Below are 12,271 nucleotides of genomic sequence, written 5' to 3' on the forward strand. Positions count from 1 at the left end.
TATTAAAGCATAAAAAGTCTTTAGTTTTGAATTTTAGGAAGCTTAAAAATTTTGTTTTATCTTAATATGAATCCAAGACTTTATTTTTAATTTGATAAATGTACAAGGCACAATGCCTTTTCTTGTTTGCCGTTTCTTACAGATGGCATACCATAAGAAACAAACTTTCTCTGCCTGAAAATCAAAGTCCTGGATGGATCATTTAATTCTTCATACATCATAGTTATTTTTAAAGGGAGACATATTGCTGCACATGAAGTTGACCCAGTCAGGTAACCTAACTCTGTAAACTCTCAACCCTGATCAGCCGCATAGTGAATGTTCTGTCTCCTAATCTGGCATTATAGACAGATCCTGACTTATTTCTGAGTATAAAGTGAACCTGAAGAGTATTTTAAATAAAATGGAAGGGATATTCTGTTATTTAGTGATTATTAGGTTCACAGAACTGAGTTTCATGTATTGCACATATTATGTTGCTTATAATTTATAATAAAGTGAGGTAGATGAGGTTTTCTCTATTTCATTAATGAAAAAACTAAAACTAAGAAAATGTAGGTAACTACCCAAGGACTTACAAGTAGTCTGAGCCTCATCCTATATCTGTAAAATGAGGTCAACTGTATTTTCATCTCTGAATTATTATAAGAGTAGAATGAGATACCACATATAAATTACCTGGCATCTACTAGACATTCAAAATGAGTAGCAGCTGTGTGTTACTGTCTTGTAGAGGCCAGAATAGGTAGGGATGAGTGATTTGAATAAAAATCTCCCAGACTTTGAAATATTCTTTACCTTTCTGTAGTATTTTTCAAGAAAATCTGAATTTGGTATCTCATGATGTGGAAATGATGTGCAGAAGTTTCATTTAAATTTTTATAAGAAACACGAACACTGCTTAAATATAAATTATACTCACTTTAATAGAGCCATAGCCTATAATTTTGTCTTATTTTTTAAAAAAAAACTTTAAAAAAGTTTTACAATTAGATTTATCAATAGTTAAATAGACTTTACCTGAATTTCATAAAGCTGAAGACTTACTTATATACTACTGAATATGGCCTAATGAATTCTTAGTGAACTACAAACTTTGCAAGTCAAAATGTGCTCTCATTCTTTTTTATTTAATATCAACCATAATTAAATGTTCAAATCATGAATATTAAAAACATCTTTAAAAAGAAATGACTTTTCTAAAATAGAATACCACTTGAATCATACTGATGACCCAAAATAGTCTACCTCTTTTTTAAGTGGAGGTTGATTGATTTTCACTGACAAATAAAAATTGCCACATGCTGATCTGAATAGGTAATGAACACAGGCATTTATTTAAGAAGGATCAACTGCCCCTTTTGTATCTTAAGTTTCTATGGGTATGTGTTTTATTAATTAAAACCTTCCTACTTCTCGTTAGCTGCCTCTAACTTCACACCAAAAACATCTGTTACTAGGCTTTACACATACACACATATGCGCACACACACACACACACACACACAAACGTACACACACAATATTAATCAAGTAAAAATAATGTTCTAATTACTTTTTTTTCTTGTGAGAATATATAAAAAGGAGTGTGCAGTGCTGTTTTTTTAGAAGCTAAGTTATATACTTAAAATACCTTCCTAATATTTTTGTGTTTCAGGGTTTTCAGAGAATAGAATCAATAAGATAGATATGTATGCATATATATAAAAAGATTTATTATTATGAATTGCTCACTTGATAGTGGAAGCTGAGAAGTCCCAAGAACTGCAGTTGGCAAGCTGGCAATCTAAAAGAGCCAATGCATAGTTCCAATCTGAATCTGAAGGCTTGAGAACTAAGACAGTTAATAGTATAGTTCCAATATGAAAGCTGGCAGGCTCATGAATCAAAAAGAGTTGATGTTTGAGTATGAGTCTGAATGTGGAAAAAGACCAGAGCTCCAGCTCAGGCAGTTAGGCAGGAGTTCCCTCTTAATCAGACTTTTTGTTCTACTCAGGTCTTCATTTGATTAGATGAGGCCCATCCAAATTAGAGAAGGCAATCTGCTTTACTGAGTGTAAGGATTCAAACGCTGATCTAATCCAGGAACAATCTCACAGACACAGCCAGACTAATGTTTGGCCACTTGTCTCAGCACCCTGGGGCCCAGTCATACTGACACCAAAAAATTGCCATCACAATTAAAAAAATTATTTTTGATTAAAGTTTTCATTTTGAGATTATTATAAATTTACATGAAATTATAAGAAATATAGAGAAATGCAGATTTCATTCAGAGAAACTGGCCTTTACTCAGTTTCCCCCAATGATAACATCTTACAAAACTGTAGTACAGTATCACCACCAGGATATCGACACAAAACAGCAAAGATAAAGAACATTTCCACCAAAACGGTAACTTCTAGTGTTATATGATACTGTAAACCACAAATAATTCTCACTCCCCCACAATACACCTAACTCCTGGCAATCACTAACATGCTTCCCATTTCTTAAATTCTGTCATTTTAAGAACGTTGAATAAATGGAATCATACAGCATGTAAACTTTTGTAACGAGCTTTTTCACTTAGCATAATTCCCTGAAAATTCCTCTAGGTTGTTGGATGTGTCAACATTTCTTTTTCTTCTTCTATTTTTCCCAGTAGAACAGTATTCTTTGGAATGGATTTGTTTATTCACCCATAGAAAGACATGAGGGTTGTTTCAAACTTTGACTACTTCAACAAAATTTGCTATAAATATTTGTGTCCAGTTTTTGTGTGAACATAGGTTTTCATTTTTTGTGATAAATATGCAGAAGTGTAGTTGCTGGGTCTATGGTTGTTGTATGTTCAGTTTTTTTTTTTTTAAGAAAAACCACTAAACTGATTTTACATTCCCACCAACAATGTGTATGAGTGATATAGTTTCTCCACATCCTCATCAACATTTTGTACCGTAATAATTTTTATTATAGCAACTCTGATAAGTGTGCAGTAATAGCTCATTGTGGTTCTATATTAATTTCCTTAATGGCTAATATGGCTAATAATGTACGACATCTTTATCTGAGCTTATTTGCTACCTGCATGCCTTTTTTGGTGAAATATCTTTTGCCCATGTTCTAAATTGAATTTTCAGTTTCTTTTATGTTCTAGATGCTAGTCCTCTGTTGGATACGTGGTTTCTAAGTATCTAATTTCATTATATAGCTTTCCTTTCATGGATGGTGATTTTTTTTCATGTCAAATATAAAAGCATTCTATGTAAACCCAGATCCTAAAGATTTTTTTCTATGAATGTTTTTAAAATATTTTGTTGTATATTTTACACTTAAATCCCTTATTAATTTTGAGTCAATTTTTAAAATAAACTGCAATATTTAAGTTGGGAGTCATTTTCTTAAATAGACTTTATTTTTAAAAACAGTTTTATGTTAACAGTAAAATCATTATTTTTTTTAGAAAAAAACCTATGCATAACCAATTGTTTCAGCACCACTTACAGAAAAGGCTAAATTTCCTCCACTGAATTACTTTTACAACTTTATCAAAATTCAGTTGGGCACATTTGTGAGGGTTTATATCTGGGTTCTATATATTTTTCCATTGATGTGTGACTATGAAAGGTATCTATCTGTCCCCTAACATAACATAGTTGAGATTACTGTAGCTGGACAATAAGTCTCAAATTTAATTGGATGAATTTCTTCCATTTTATTCTTTTTCTAAACTGTTTTAGCTATTTTAACTTATTTATCTTTCTATATACCTTTCAGAATAATCTTGCCTATACCTAAACAATTCTGTGCCTAAATTTTTATAGGAATTACATTCAAACTCTGTATCAGTTTGGAAGAACTAACATCTCTGAGTATTGTCAATCTTCCAATTCAGGAACATAATGTGTCTTTCCATTTATTTAGATCTACTTTGATTTCATTCATCAGTGTTGTCAATGTTGTTGTATAGTTTTCAGCATTCTTATCTCATACAAGTTTAGGCAGACTTACACCAAAGTATTTTTTTCTGCCAATTACAGATGGCATTGTATTTTTAAATTAGTGTTCAAATATGTACTGCTAGAATGCAGACATACAATTGATTTCTGCATGTTTATTTTATATCCTGCCACTTTGCTGAAGATAAATTTATAGCATTAAATTCATCCATTGGAAATGAGTACAAGTTTTAAATTGATAATCAATTATTAGTTCTAAGAGTTTTGTTTTTTATAGATCCTTTGGGATTTTCTATGTAGACAATTTTGCCATCTGCAAATAGGGACAGCTTTGTTTTTCTCACTCTAAAATGGGTGCATTATATGTCCCTTTATTGCTTATTGTGTTGGCTAAAAATCCAGAACTATGTGTTGGCTAAAAATCCCGAACTATGTGTTGGCTAAAAATCCCGAACTATGTTGAATAAAATTGGGGAGAATGAACATATGCTTTGCTTTTATGCAGATCCTTAAGTTATTCAGTATGTTATAATTAAGTATATATTAGCAATAGTTTTTTTGTAGGTGTTCCTTCTCACATTCAGGAACTTACTATATATTTCTATATATAGTAAAGAAGTTTCTAAAAATAATTATCATGAATAGGTGTTGAATTCTGTCAAATGCTTTTTGCCATCAATTGTTATGATCATGTGATTTTTTTTCTTTGATCTGTTCACGTGGTAGATTATACAGAATGAGTTTCAAACATTAAAACATATTTGCAACCCTAGAGTGAATCCTACTTAGCCATGTTGTATAATATTTTTAATATATTGCTGAACAATATTTGCCAATATTTTGTTAGAAACTTTTCTTTTTTATTCAGAAGTAATGTTGAACAGTCATTTTTTCTACTTTGTCCTGTCAACTTATGATTTTGTATCAGGGTACTATTAGCTTCATAAATAAATTAAGAACTATTCTATTCTGTTTGTGGGACGAGATTGTACATAATTTTTGCTGATTCTTCTTTTAAAGTTTGGTAGAATTCTCAAGATAAATCAATTCAACTTAAAATTATTTTTTTCTTTAAGTTTTTCAAGTCTAAAGTTTTCATTCGGTTTTTTTTATCTTCTAATTTTTCATGAGATTGCATTTTTTTATTGATACTTACTAGATGTACATATTTTCAGAGTACTTGTGATAATTTAATATATTTATGTAATGTGTAAAGATTTGTAATGTGTAAAATTTATGTAATGTGTAAAGATCAGTGTACCTGGGATATCTATCATCTTAAATAAGTATCTTCTTTTCATGCTGGGAACATTGAACTTATTCTCTTCTAGCTGTTTTGAAATGTACAATACATTGTTTATTGTAGTCACCCTATAACTCTATTGAACACCTTGTCTTATTTCTTCTATTTAACCATGCATTTGTACCCATTAATCAACTTCTCTTTATTCCTCCTCTCTCTACCCAGACTTTAGTAACCAACAATCTACTGTCTATCTTCATGAAATCTACTTTTTAGCTCTCACAAGTCAGTGAGAGCATGTAATAGTAATAGTTGTCTTTCTGTGCCTGCCTTATTTCACTTAATGTAATTATCTACCGCTCCTTCCATGTTACTGAAAATGACAGAACTTCATTCTTTTTTTATGGCTTAATAATAGTCCATTGTGTATAGACAGCACATTTTCTTTATTCATCCATTGATGGGCACATAGATTGAGTCGATACTTTCCTTATTGTGAATAGTGCTATAATAAATATGGGGGTGCCTACATATATTGACTTTTCTTCTTTTTTTTGAGACAGAGCCTCACACTTTCACCCGAGCTGGTGTGCAGTGGCACAAACTTGGCTCACTGCAACCTCCACCTCCCGGGTTCAAGTGACTACCCTGCCTCAGCCTCCCGAGTAGCTAGGATTACAGGCACTCGCCACCTTCCTCAGCTAATTTGTTGTATTTTTAGTGGAGACGGGGTTTCACTATGTTGGCCATGCTGGTCTCAAACTCCCGACCTCTTGATCCCCCTGCCTTGGCCTCCCAAAGTGTTGAGATTACAGGCGGGAGCCACTGCATCTGGCAACTTTTCTTCTTTTAGGTATATATTCAGCAGTGAGACATGGATTTTATGGTATTTCTATTTTTTTGTTTTTTGAGGAACCTCCATATATTGTCCATAGCAGCTGTAGTACTTTATATTCCCACCAATAGTGTAAGAAGGTTCCCCTTTCACCACCTCCTCACCAGCAACGGTTATTTCCTGTCTTTTTTATAAAAGCCATTTTACTGGAGTGAAATGACATGTCATCAGGATTTTGATTTCCATTTCCCTGATGATTGGTGATACTGAGCATTTTTTTCATGTATCTGTTCATCATACATATGTCTTCTTTTGAGATATGTCCATTCAAATCTTTCACCCATTTTCAAACAGATTATGTATTATTATTATGTTATTTAATTGAGTTCCTTATACATTCTGGTTATTAATCCATTGTTAGATGGACATTATAAAAATATTTTCTCCCATTCTGTGAGAACGTTGTTTCTTCACTCCATTGACTGTTTCCTTTCTTGATATCTTTTTAGCTTGATATCATCCCATTTGTCTATTTCTGCTTTGGTAGCCTGTGCTTTTGAGTACTTACCCAAAAACTCTTTGCTCTGACCAATGTTCTGATGCATTTTCCCAATGTTTCTTCCACTACTTTCATAGTTTCAAGCTTTAGATTTTTCTTTAAACTAATTTGTTTTGATTTTGTATATAGTAATATATAAGTGTCTAATTTCATTCTTTTGCATATCTGCATATGGTTATCTAGTTTTCCCAGCACCATTTAAAGCAGAGACTGTCATTTTGTCATTGTATATTCTTGGCAACTTTGGTAAACATGAGTTGGCTGCAAAGGCATGGATTTATATATAGGTTTTCTATTCTGTTCCATTGATCCATTTGTCTGTTTTTATGACAGTATCATGCTGATTTGGTTACTACAGTTTTGTAGTATATTTTGAAGTCAGGTAGTGATATGGTTTGGTTCTGTGTCCCCACCCAAATCTCATCTTGAATTGTCATCCTCACGAGTTGAGGAAGGGAGCTGGTAGGAGGTGACTGGATCTTGGGGGCAGTTTCCCCCATGCTGTTCTCCTGATAGTGAGTGAGTTCTCATGTGATTTGATGGTTTAAAATTGTGGCACTTTCCTTCACTCTCTCTCTCCTGCTGCCTTGTGAAGAAGGTTCCTGCTTCTCCCCTTCACCTTCTACCATGATTATCTTTCCTTAGGCCTCCGCAGCCCTGTGGAACTGAGTCAATTAAACCTCTTTTCTTTATAAATTTCCCAGTCTTAGGTTGTTCTTTATAGCAGTATGCAAACAAACTAATACAGAAAATTGGTACTGGGAGTTTGGGGCATTGCTGTGAAGATAATTGAAAATGTGGAAGCTACTCTGAAACTGGGTAATGGGCAGAGGTTGGAACAGTTTGAAAAACTGAGAAGAATACAGGAAGATGTAGGAACGTTTGGAACTTCCTACATTCTTGTTGAATGGTTTTGACCAAAATGCTGATAGTGATATGGACAGTGAAGTCCAGGCCTACGAGGTGGTCTCAGATGGAGATGAGGAACTTACTTGGAACTGAAGTAAAGGTCATGTATGTTCACAAAGAGGTGGTCTGAAATTGAAACTTATGTTTAAAAGGGAAGCAGAGCATAAAAGTTGGAAAATTTTGCAGCCTGATCATGTGGTAGAAAAGAAAAAAAAAACACTTTCTGGGGAGAAATTCAAGCTGGCTGCAGAACCTTGCATAAGTAATGGAGAGTTGAATGTTAATAGCCATGATGATTGGGACAATGTCTCCAGGGCATTTCAGAGATCTTCATGACAGCAACTCCCATCATAGGCCCAGAGGCCTAGGAGGCAAAAATGGTTGTGTGGGCTGGACCCAGGGTCCCCTTGCTCCGTGCAGCTTTGGGACATGGTGCCCTGTGTCCCAGCCACTCCACTTCCAGCCATGGCTAAAAGGGGCCATGGTACAGCTCTGGTCATTGCTTCAGACGATGCAGGCCCCAAAACTTGGTGGCTTCCATGTGGTGTTGGGCTAGTGGGTGTGCAGAAGACAAAAGTAGAGCTTTTACAGCTTCCTCCTAGATTTCAGAGCATGTATGGAAATGTCTGGATGTCCAGGCAGAGGTCTGCTGCAGGGAGACCTTGTGGAGAACCTCTACTAGGGCAATGCAGAGGAGAAATGTGGGTTTGGAGCCCCCCATGCAGAGTCACCACTGGGACACTGCCTGGTTGAGCTGTGAGAAAAGGACAACTGTCCTGTAGACACAGAGGGGTAGACCCACTGACAGCTTGCCCTTTATACCTGGAAAAGACACAGGCACACAATTCCAGCCTGTGAAAGCAGCCACAGGAACTTTACCCTGCAGAGCCACAGAGGCAGAGCTGTCTAAACCCTTGGGAGCTCAGCCCTTGTATCAGCATGCCCTGGATATGAGACATGCAGTAATAGGAGATTATTTTGGAGCTAAAGATTTAGAGATCGACCCACTGGATTTTTTACTTTATTGGACCTGTAGCTTCTTTGTTCTGGCCAATTTCTCCCTTTTGGAATGATAGCATTTATGCAAAGCCTGTATGCTCATTGTATCTTGGAAGTAACTTACTTGTTTTTGATTTTACAGGCTCATAGGAGAAAGGTACTTACCTTATCTCAGATGAGATTTTAGACTTTGACTTTCGAGTTGATGCTTCAATAACTGGGATTTTGGGGGACTGTTGAGAAGGGATGTTTGGCTTTCAAATATAAGATGGACATGAGATTTTGTGGGGGTGGTGAGCAGGGGTGGGATGATATGTTTTGGCTCTGTGTCTCCACCCAAATCACATCTTGAATTGTAATCCCCAAGTGTTGAGGGAACGTCCTGGTGGGAGGGGTTGGATCATGGAGACAGTTTCCTCCATGCTGTTCTTGTAATAGTAAGGGAATTCTCATGAAATCTGATGGTTTAAAAGTGTGGCACTTCCTTTTGCTTTCTCTCTCTCTTGCTTCTATGGAAGATGTATCTTCCTTCCCCTTTGCCTTCTACCATGATTATAAGTTTCCTGAGGCCTCTCCAGCCATGCGGAACTGTGAGTCAAGTAAACCTCCTTTCTTTGTAAGTTAACCAGTCTCAGGTAGCTTTTTATAGCAGTGTGAAAATGGACTAATACAGGTAGCATGATGCCTCCAGATTTGCTTTTGTTCTTCAGGATTGCTTTGTCTACTTGACGTCTTTTGGGTTTTACATAAATTTTAGGATTGATTTTTCTACTTCTGTGAAGAATGCCATTGGTAATTTTGATAGAGGTTGCATTGAATCTGTAGATCACATTGGGTAGTATTATCATGTTAACAATATTTATTATTGTAATTCATAATAATGGAATATCTTTTAAATTTGGTTTTCTCTTCTACTTCTTTCACCAGTGTTTTATAATTTTCCTTGTATAGATCTTTTATTTCTTTGGATAGATTGATTCGTGGGCATTTCATATTCTTTATAGCTATTACAGATGGGATTGCTTTCTTTATTTCTTTTCAGATTGCTCACTGTCAGTGTATATAAATGCTACTGATATGGATGTAGTTCTGTTTTCAGCAAATTTACTGAATTAATTTTTTAGTTTTAATGATTTTGTGTGGAGTCTCTAGGTTTTACTAAATATAAAATCATGTCATCTGCAAGCAAAGCTAATTTGAATTATATCTTTACAATCTGAATGCTCGTTATTTATTTTTTTCTCTGGCTTAATTGCTTTAACTAGTTCTTCAAGTATTGTATTGAATAAAGGTGATGAAAGTGGTCATCTTGTCTTGTTTCAGATCTCAGATAAAAGGTTTTCTGTTTTTCCTTGTTCAGTATAGTTTTGAACATGGCTTTGTCTGAGGTCCTTGAGGACCATATATAGCCTAGAGGTATGTTTTTTTTCTATATCTAGCTTGTTGAGAGTTTTCATCATAAAGGGATCTTGAATTTTATCAAATGCTTTCCAGCATCTATTAAAATGATTATGAGTTTTTGTTCTTAGATTTCTCAGTTATGTATCATATTTATTGATTTGTGTATGTAGAAGCATGCTTACATTTACACAATAAATCCCAGTTGATCATGGTAAATGATCTTTTTAATATGTTGTTAAATCCAATTTGCTAGTATTTTGTTTAGGATTTTTGCATCTATGTTCATTAGTGATAATGGCCTGTAGTTTTATTGATTTTTTTGTTGTGTCCTTGTCTGGTTTTTGTATCAGAAAAATGCTGGCCTCATGGAACAAATTTGGAAGTATTTCCTCTTTTCATATTTTGTTTGGAGTAGTTTAAGTAGAATTGGTGTTAGCACTTTTTAAAATGTTTGGTAAAATTTAGCAATGCAGCCATCTGGGTTGATCTTTGCTTTGAGGCAAGAGCTCTTTTTTATTTTTTTTCTGGGAAAGGCTCTTTCATGTATGAAGAACTGCTTTTCTGGATACAGTGTTTTCAGAAGCTAGTTTGTTTTCTTATTCTTTTTCTTTTTTTTTTTTTTTTTTTTTTTTTGAGACAGAGTCTCACTCTGTCACCCAGGCTGGAGTGCAGTGGCATGATTTCGGCTCACTGCAAGCTCCGCCTCCTGGGTTCATGCCATTCTCCTGCCTCAGCCTCCTGAGTAGCAGAGACTACAGGCGCCTGCCACCACACCCAGCCAATTGTTTGTATTTTTAGTAGAGACGGGGTTTCACCATGTTAGCCAGGATAGTCTCAATCTCCTGACCTTGTGATCTACCTGCCTCGGCCTCCCCAAGTTCTGGGATTACAGGCATGAGCCACTGTGCCTGGCCGGTAGTTTGTTTTCTTTCTGCATTTGAAAATGTCATATCACTCCCTCCTGGCCTGTATGTTTCACTTGAGAAGTCTGTTGTCAGATGCATTGGAACTCCATTATATGTTACTTGCTTTTTAATAATCTTATTGATTTTAGGATTCTCTCTTTGTTTTTGACCTCAGAAAGTTTGATTATTATATGCCTTATGCTAGTCTTATTTAAGTTTAATCTGTTTGATGTTCTCTCACCTTCCTGTGTCTGGATATTTATATCTTTCTTAAGTTTTTAAAAGATTTTTATTATTATTTCTTTTAAAAAGCTTTCTACCCCTTGACCTTTCTCCACTCCCTGTTGAACACCAGTAATTCTTAGAGTTGGTCTTTTGATGTAATTTTCTATATCTTGTAGGCAATCTTCATTTCCTTTCATTCTTTCTTTCTTTTTCCAGCTCTGACTGCATATTTTAAAATAGCCTGTCTTGAAGTTCAGTTTTTTTCCTCTGCTCAATCCTTTCATGCTCTTGAGAGGATCTAATAAATTTTTCAGTTTAGTAAATATATTTCTCAGTTTCCAGATTTTTGTTTGTTTTTTATCAGCATTTCAATCTCTTTGTTAAATTTCTCTGATAAATTTCAGAGTTGCTTTCCTTTGTTATCCTGGAGATTGCTGAGTTTCCTTAAACTTACTCTTCAATTCTTGCTCTGAGAGCTCATATGTCACTGTCTTGTTAGGGTCATTCATTGAGTCCTTGCTTTGTCTGTGTGGGAGGTCATCGTTCCCTTTTTGCTGTTGTTTCTTGTGTATGTCTTTGTATTAAAGAATGAGTTATTTATTGTAGTCTTCTTTTTTTTTTAATTGGATATTTCTGCTTAGATATTCTTTTGTAATTTACGTGTTGGGTTTTTTTTTTTTTTTTTTTTTTTTTGCTAGGTCATGACTTCCTTTTCAGCACCAGCTCACACCTCAAGCCCTGGTTTGCCTCTTCTTTGGTAAACAATTGGATCACTGCTTGTTCTGAATGGATGAGATCCCAAAGGGTATATCCTAGTGGTGTGGGAAGGCTGACTAGAGTTTCATGCCCAGGAGACCTGTGGAATATACCTCTTATGGCATAATGCTGATGAAGAGCCACTCTGATTTTGTGTCTCCTTTGGCCAAGTTATAGAGCAAAATTTGCAGGCCTGGAATGGTAGTCTCACCTCCCCGCCATTGTCTCTGGGTATCCTCAGGAATAGTTCCCCTTTCAGATATTTGTGATGCTTTCCATGGGTAGAAGCAAGGACAAGTCCTTTGTCAGGGAACCCAAAATAGTGGAGGATCTCACCTATTCCAGCGTAGAAACAATGAGTTGGGAGAAATTTTTAGTTCACTTGGTGTTGGGAAGATTTTGAGAAGAGGCACTGTGGACATGGAAATCTGATTCTCTTACCATCTGTTCAGAGTGTTTTTCTTGTCTCTGTGACTTTGAGAACTACCTCATCCTTAT

At 35.2% G+C, this 12,271-nt stretch overlaps 2 annotated features.

Annotated features, from left to right (window-relative positions):
- Nucleotides 374–543: an enhancer, noted in NCBI's record as "experimental_74418 CRE fragment used in MPRA reporter constructs". NCBI's record gives its function as "activates a minimal promoter by MPRAs in K562 erythroleukemia cells, with activity observed for both the introgressed and non-introgressed 4:131180756 variant alleles {active_cell/tissue: K562}" and the evidence as "EXISTENCE:reporter gene assay evidence [ECO:0000049][PMID:34662402]".
- Nucleotides 6,075–6,244: an enhancer, noted in NCBI's record as "experimental_74428 CRE fragment used in MPRA reporter constructs". NCBI's record gives its function as "activates a minimal promoter by MPRAs in K562 erythroleukemia cells, with activity observed for both the introgressed and non-introgressed 4:131186457 variant alleles {active_cell/tissue: K562}" and the evidence as "EXISTENCE:reporter gene assay evidence [ECO:0000049][PMID:34662402]".

The sequence above is a fragment of the Homo sapiens genome, chromosome 4 (assembly GCF_000001405.40).
Source record: "Homo sapiens chromosome 4, GRCh38.p14 Primary Assembly".
Taxonomy (NCBI): domain Eukaryota; kingdom Metazoa; phylum Chordata; class Mammalia; order Primates; family Hominidae; genus Homo; species Homo sapiens.